We start from the raw sequence: 8,063 nt of genomic DNA, 5'->3' as shown, positions 1-8,063 counted from the left end.
ACTGAGGGTTGTTAGATGTTTATTATTTAATTATTCTTGATACTTTGGTGAATTTTCTGGATTTGTTAAGAAAAAAAAAAACTAAAACACACTAATGAAAGTCCCCATTAAGATGATAATTCAACTCTCTTTTCACCTATTTAAACACTTATGAAAAACAATGTATGATTTCAACATGCTAAGATTACAATATAAACAAATGGAATAAATTCCACTTGTCTCATAAATATGCTGATAAAGTTTACAAAAAGTAGAATAAAATGTATCTCAGAAATGAGGTTAAAAATGTTCATCTTAAACATCTTCCATATAATTGCTAAAGTAAATGCCTTCTCCTTCATTTGCATATTTCCAATTTGATAGCTAAACTATCACTAAAATTTTCATGTAAAAACTGAAGAAATAAGTAAAAAGTACAAGTCCTAAAATCAACTAACCTGTATGGGTTCTTCTATGTCTCTGGAGCTCATCACTCCGTGTGAATCTTTTGCCACAAAACATCCAGTTGCATATAAAAGGTCTTTCTCCAGTATGCCAGCGAAGATGTGCTCGTAAATGAGATGTTTTGCCATAAACTTTACCACATCCTTCAATATGACAGATATGCTGCTTCTTTTTTCCTGGTTCATTACTGCCTCTAGCAAAAACAAAAACCGAACATTAATTACACTGCCAAATAGTAGGTTTACAATTATAGAAAAATTAAAAAGAATCAAGGTAATTAAATGATGCTTCTCTGAATAGGTTTGATCATGATGCCATAACTGTAGTTCAAATCAGAAAATTTTCAGTTAAAGACAAAATAAAACAGGTCTGTGTACCAAATTGCTATGAAAATGTGTTAATCTCAAAGAGTTTATGCTCTATTATGGACTCACGTTCCTGGTCATAGTGGGCTCTTCCCTTGGGAAAAAAATCTCTCTAAGCCTTTCAAAACACTTGAAACTTCTCTAAAATTTCAAAAGGATGGCTAAATCCAGTTAAAAGTGTAAGATGCAGAGTTTCGTTTCTAGCAGGGCAGTGTGAGGAGTTCCATGGATCTGTTTCCCAGTGAAAATTCTAAAAAAAGCAAAAAATACCATTTAAAGTCTCTGGAAATGGTTCTAAAAGCAAATAACAGCAAATAAAGAAACATTTATTCAAGAAAATCTCACAGAAATTGGTAAGAACAGTAAGAGTCTGTGGTATTTGAACCAAGACTCTCCCCTTCCCTACTTCCTCCCGTTTCCACACAGGAACATTAGAGACTGGTGCAGCTAAGAATATGATTCCTACTCTTCCCACCTCCCGGTCAGAGGAGTATGGCCCCAGGAGGGGCAAGATGTCTGCATTTCTTATCTTACCCCTGGTTGCCTGTTGCTAAGTTCCAGGCAAGTGTAGCAGAACCAAGTCCTTAGCCCTGGGACATAGACTCTACCTTGGATGTGGCATGATGAAAATACTGGGGTCCAGGTTGCCCTTGACCTGGCCCATTCATAGTTCATAAAGTCAAAGTTCTAAGCCAGGAGAGGCCAGTTGAGAAGACCTGAGGCTATTGCTGCCCCAGCAACCAGGCACTCAGCTCTTAAAGCAGGGTTGTAACTCAGAAAGAAAGCCACTGTCTCAACCCCCGGTTCAAAAGCCATAAGTCAGAAACACACCATAAAACAAAGAGCTCCAAATCTCTTCCCAAAGGAATTGACTTCATTTGCAAGACAATGTGAAGAAGTTCAAGCCTAAGGGTACTCTCAAAAAAAGTAGAGATGGTTTCAAAAGGCAGTTAATTGGGAGAAGACTAAGAGATTCACTGGAAATAAAGGCTTAACTACAGGTTGGCTAGTTTGCCAGAAAGAAGTGAGCAAAGAGGCTGTGAAGAACCTTCTTAGGGTCAGAAAAAATGTCAAATATTGAGATTCTTGGGAAAAGTAAACAAAACTAACAAACTTTTAGCTAGACTGACCAAGAAAGTAGGACTCAAATTATTAGAATCAGAAATCAAAGAGGAGATATCACTACCAACCTTATAGAAACAAAAAGGATTACAAAGGAATACCATGAACAATTCTACGGCAATTACTTGGGTAACTCAGAGGAGATGGACAAATTCCTAGAAAAATACGGACCAAAATACTAAAACTGACTCAAGAACAAATAATCAATCAGAATACACCTACAACAAGCAACTAGACTGAATTCGTAATTAAAACTACCCATAAGAAAAGCCCAAGAACAGACAGCTTCACTGGTAAATTCCACAAAACATTTAAAGAATTAATACCAGTTTGGAGGGAATACTTTCCAATTCATTCTATGAAGCCAGTATTATCATTACCAAAATCAGATAAAAACAATACAAAAAGAAAACCACAGACATCTCTCTTATGAATATGGATGCAAAAATCCTCAACAAAATACAAGCACACTGTCAACATTGTACCAGAGGTTCCAGACAGAGAAACTAAGCAAGAAAAAGAAACAGAACTCCTGCAGAGTAGAAAGGAAAAAGTAAAAACTATCTCTGTTCACAGATTCCATGACCTTATACACAGAAATCCTAAAGACTCTACTAAACAAACAAACAAACAAACAAACAAAAAAACTGTTATAACTAATCAAAAAGTTCAGCAAAAGTTGCAGGATAAAAGATTAATACATTAAAAAATGTATTTCTACATACTTGAACAATCAAGAAAACAGTTCAACTTATAATAGCATCAGAAATAAAATTGGAATTTAACAAAAGTACAAAATGTATACTCTGAAAACTATAAAACATTGATGAAAGAAGTTAAAGATTAAACAACCAGAAATACTTCCCATGTGCATAGACCAAAAGATGTAATATTGTTAAGCTGGCAACCGTCCCCAAAGTGATCTACAGATTCAATGCAATTTCCATCAGAATACCATCTGGTTTCTTTATAGAAACTGACAAACTGATTCTAAAATTCACATGGAATTGCAAGTGTCCCGAAAGAGTCAGTACAATTTTGAAGAATAACAAAGCTGCAGGACTCACATTTCTCGATTTCAAAAGTTATTACAAATCCAAAGTACTCAAGATAGTGTGGTACTGACATAAAGATAGTCATATAGATCAATGGAATACAACTGAAAGTCCAGAAATAAATCCATGTTCTATGGTCAACTAATTTTTGACATGGGTGCCAAGAACATTCAACGGAGAAAGGACAGTCTTTTCAACAACTGGTGCTTGATGAACCCTTACCTAACACCATACGTAAAAATTAACCCCAAATTAATCACAGACCTAAATGTAAGAGTAAAAACTATAAAATTATCTTAAAAAAAAAAAACAACTAGGAATCTTAATGACTTCGGATTTGGCAATGAATTCTTAGATACAATACCAAAAGCAGAAGCAATAAAGGAAAATAGAAAACTCTAGACTTCAAAATTAAAACTTTGGTGCAAAGGCACTATCAAGAAAGTATACAGACAATTCACACAATGGGAGACAATATTTTTCTTTTTTCTTTCTTTTTTTTTTTTTGAGATGGAGTTTCGCTCTTTCACCCAGGCTGGAGTGCAGTGGCGCGATCTCGGCTCACTGCAACCTCCGCCTCCTGGGTTCAAGCAATTCTCCTCCCTCAGCCTCCCGAGTTGCTGGGATTACAAGCATGCGCTACCATGCTTGGCTAATTTTGTATTTTCAGTGAGACAAGGTTTCTCCATGCCGGTCAGGCTGGTCTTGAACTCCTGACCTCAGGTGATCCACCTGCCTTGGCCTCCCGAAGTGCTGGGATTACAGGCGTGAGCCACTGCGCCCAGCCAGGAGACAATATTTTCAAATTGTATATCTGATAAGGAATTTGTATGTAGAATATATAAAGAGACAATTCCATAATGAAAAATAAATAATATAATTTAAAATGGGCAAAAGATCCAAATAAACATTTCTCCAAAGATACAAACATGGCCAATAAGAACAAGAAAAGATGCTCAATATCATTAGTATCAGTAAAAACAAAACTGCAGTGACATATGACTTCACTAGGATAGCTTTAATCATAAAGTCAGATAATGACAAGTACTGGCAATGATCTAGAGAGACTGGAACCTTCATACCCTATTGATGGAAATGTTAAATGGTACAGCCACTTTGGAAAACAGTCGGTAAGTTCCTCAAATGGTTAAACATAGAATTACAATATGACCCAAAAATCCATTTCTAGGTAATTTCATATAAATACAAGAGAAATGAAAACATATGCCCACACAAACAGTTCTACACAAATGTTTACTGCAGTATTATTCATAACGGCCAGTGGGTGGATAAAACCAAATGTCCTTCAATTGACAGGATAAACAAAAATATTGTATATCCATAGAGTGGAATATTATTTGTCCCTAAAAAGGAATGAAGTATTGATCATACTGTAATATGGTTGAACCTTGAAAACATTATGCTAAAAGAAACCAGTCACAAAAGACCATGATTCCATTTATATGAATTGTCCAGAAAAGGCAAATCTATAAAGACAGAAATTAGTTGTCTAGGATGGAAGGATTGGGATAAGGGGGTGATGCTTAAAAAAGATACAGAATTTATTCTGGGGATGATGAAAACACTCTAAAATTGATTGTAGTCATGTCTACACAGCTCTGAATATATTAAAAACCACTGAATTGTACACTTTAAATTCGTGAACTGTATGGTGTACGAATGAGTTTTATATCAATAAAGTTACGTAAATATTTTATGAAAAAGAAAAAAAATGGGCTGGGCGAGGGGGCTCACACCTGTAATCCCAGCACTTGGGGGGCTGAGGTGGGTGGATCACCTGAGGTCAGGAGTTCGAGACCAGCCTGGCCCACATGGTGAAACCCCGCCTCTACTAAAAATACAAAAACTAGCCGGGTGTGGTGGCGGGCACCTGTACTTAATCCCAGCTACTCGGAAGGCTGAGGCAGGAGAATCGCTTGAACCCGGGAGGCAGAGATTGCAGTGAGCTGAGATTGCACCACTGCACTCCAGCCTAGGCAGCAGAGTGACACTCCATCTTGTTGGGGTGGGGGAGGGGTGGGGAAGAAAGAAAAAATATTTTTTAAAAGTGTAAGGAACAAGGCGGAGGACCGCTCAAATTTCATTCCTAAAATAGCCCAACTTAATTCCCTTTCTAATATTATATATCAACTTCTAGGCTACAAAGGTAATGAAGTTCTAGTGACCATCATTCCCAGCCAATTACTTGGTTTTAACTGCTGTTTTATGCCTTCCAAATAGACACAGTTGAAAAATACAGCATTTACCTTCCTTCTCCTTCCCTACAATTAGGACAGGAACAGGCAACTCTTCGAAGCCTCTTGCCAGGTTGTACCTCTTGATCAGAAGTCTGCTGGCCTTGCTGCAAATGCACTTGTGTGAGTTGGTCAGGACTAACAGCACCTATCGTGGCATTAGCAATTCCTCCAACTGCTACAGTTACAGGAGCTATAGTAGCTTGCTGGACTTTTACTCCATCTTGTCCTTGCTGCTGACCTAAAAAGGAAGAAAAAAAAGAAGTATTGTAATGTTTTCTACACCTAAAGAAAGGATTAAAAAAAAAAATCTATGTGCATAATAAATTTTTTCTAACAATCTGTGTAAAGTACAAAAACTAAGGGGTTAATGGCTTATACTATGTCAATCCTTCTAAAATATAGTATTCTTACTTTAGTGGCTCAGGTTGCCTATGTATCTAGATAACGGAACTATATACATACATCATTTAACTCACTTTGTGGCTTAATTTCTCTCTCCATCTGTAAAATGAAGATAATACTTGCCACTTACCTACTCACTAAAATACTATGAGGATACATGAGATAGTCTAAAAGCATTTTGAGATCCTAAAAGATGTTATATAAACACAAAGCTTTATTACCATTTCCACGGTAAGCAACATATCTTATCATAACAAGAAAATACAGGAGTGAAAAGTCACTAAACAAAGGATTAAGTTTTATGGACATCTTGCATTCCTAAATAGTTTAAATAAACATCTCTTTATTGATTCGACTTTTTTTAGTGTATACATAAAGTGGTTTTTGAAATGCAAAACCACCCAAGATTACTACATACTGTCACTGTAATCATAAAAAGACATTTAAGATATTATTACTTTATTCATTCATGTTATATAGCTTAGACTTCATCACTCAGATTAGTATATATACCAGCTTGGCTTCTTCACTTTGGGAAAAATATAATAAATAATGCACAATAAAACAACAATAAAAAAATCTATTGGCATGGCTTAACATTATCCTGAAATACAATGCTTTTTTTTTTTTTTTTTTTTTTTGAGATGGAGTCTTGCTCTGTCGCCCAGGCTGGAGTGCAGTAGCACGATCTCGGCTCACTGCAACCTCCACCTCCTGGGTTCAAGCAATTCTTCTTCTTCAGCCTCCCTAGTAGCTGGGATGACAGGCGTGTGCCACCATGCCCAGCTAATTTTTTTTGTATTTTTAGTAGAGACAGGGTTTTGCCATGTTTGCCAGGCTGGTCTCAAACTCCTGACCTCAGGTGATTCACCTGCTTTGGCCTCCCAAAGTGCTGGAATTACAGGTGTGAGCCACCGTGCCCGGCCTACAATGCCTTATAATTATCTTTTCTTTCACACAGTTCTACATTCTCTCCATCAGGTGTGGGAATAACAAGTATGTGAATGGACTGAAAAGAAAATACCAATTTATGAAAGAATGTTTCTACCTCAGAAAGTTGATGTAAGTATTAAGTAAATTTACAAATCCTCTACCAGAGTGCTGGCACGGAATTGCTCATTACATGGTAGCTACTGTTACCAATTCATCTCTGCTGAGTTCAGTGGCAATACAAGAATAAAATATGTCACTTTGGGAGGCTGAGATGTCAGATCACAAGGTCAGGAGATCGAGACCATCCTGGCTAACATGGTGAAACCCAGCCTCTACTAAAAATACAAAAAATTAGCCGGGCGTGGTGGCGGGCGCCTGTAGTCCCAGCTACTCGCTACTCAGGAGGCTTAGGAAGGAGAATGGCATGAACCTGGGAGGCAGAGCTTGCAGTGAGCTGAGACTGTGCAGCCTGGGCGACAGAGCGAGACTCTGTCTCAAAATAACAATAAAATATGCTAGCAGAAACAAACATACCGGTCCTGCATACAAAATAAAAGGGTTTCTTTCAGGCCAGGCGTGGTGGCTCAGGCCTGTAATCCCAGCACTTTTGGAGGCTGAGGCAGGTGGAACACGAGGTCAGGAGATGGAGACCATCCTAGCTAACACGGTGAAACCCCATCTCTATTAAAAATACAAAAAATTAGCCAGGTGTGGTAGCACACACCTGTAGTCCCAGCTACTTGGGAAGCTGAGGCAGCAGAATCGCTTGAACCCGGGAGGCAGAGGTTTCAGTGAGCCGAAATTGTGCCACTGCACTCCAGCCTGGGCGTCAAGAGTGAGACTCTGTCTCAAAAAAAAAAACAAAAAACAAAAAACAAAAAAAGGGTGGGGGAGGTTATTTCAAAGCTGCACATGTAGTACCTTAAATGTATGGGGCAACCAAGAAGAGGCAATAAAAAGTACCAAGTAAGAAAACAGTACACATTTTCTAAACAAAATTAAACCTCTGACTCTCCCAGCCAAAGTCAATCTCACTCTCCTCTGCGTATCCACAGCACCGTTAATCCTTCTGGTAGCACCCATAACTAACATGCACATTAAAAAATTTATTTTGTCACTGTTTTAGTAAGGATACAAACCCTCTACTAAAATTTACATTTTTGTACACCTTTGAATTAGCATGGTGTGGTAAGTAAAGCAATGCAAGTGAAGTGAGAGTTGTAAATTTATGACTGTGCACTCAGAGATCCTCAGTTTCCTCAACTCTAAAATAGTAACACTGACTTCCATAAAATTTCTGCTCCCTATCTACTTTAAAGAGCTGTTCCTGAGGATCAAGTTGATTTTCCAGGGGTAAAGGCTATATAAATTATAAAGCAATACATAAACAAAAGGTATAATTATTTTGTTTCAGTGTTTTTGAACATGTATTCAGTAAAACTAGATGGCTTAAGGATGACCTTGGCTACAAAATCTATTCAAAC

At 37.5% G+C, this 8,063-nt stretch overlaps 1 protein-coding gene across 7 annotated transcripts in view, besides 1 other annotated feature; it reads right to left on the bottom strand.

Annotated features, from left to right (window-relative positions):
- Positions 1 to 8,063, bottom strand: part of SP4 (Sp4 transcription factor) — an 86,740-nt gene that overhangs the window by 32,262 nt on the left and 46,415 nt on the right. For 4 of the 7 annotated variants that reach the window (NM_003112.5, NM_001326543.2, NM_001326542.2 and 1 more), the window contains exons 4-5: positions 5,254 to 5,482; positions 438 to 637 (exon numbers count right to left, since the gene is read on the bottom strand). In NM_003112.5, the coding sequence (NP_003103.2) occupies positions 438 to 637; positions 5,254 to 5,482 (429 nt within the window). Of the gene's footprint in view, positions 1 to 2; positions 137 to 436; positions 1,060 to 5,253; positions 5,483 to 8,063 lie in introns of those variants that run through there. The other 3 variants (XM_011515486.3, XM_017012557.2, XM_011515487.3) reach the window with 3 other exon arrangements.
- Positions 1,400 to 2,023: an enhancer, noted in NCBI's record as "OCT4-NANOG hESC enhancer chr7:21520156-21520779 (GRCh37/hg19 assembly coordinates)". NCBI's record gives its function as "activates a minimal SCP1, AML or CMV promoter by ChIP-STARR-seq in primed H9 embryonic stem cells {active_cell/tissue: H9 hESC(primed)}" and the evidence as "EXISTENCE:reporter gene assay evidence [ECO:0000049][PMID:30033119]".

This window comes from Homo sapiens, chromosome 7, assembly GCF_000001405.40.
Source record: "Homo sapiens chromosome 7, GRCh38.p14 Primary Assembly".
Classification (NCBI taxonomy): domain Eukaryota; kingdom Metazoa; phylum Chordata; class Mammalia; order Primates; family Hominidae; genus Homo; species Homo sapiens.
Note: the sequence above shows the minus strand (reverse complement) of the source record. Positions and strands in the feature narration are given on the sequence as shown.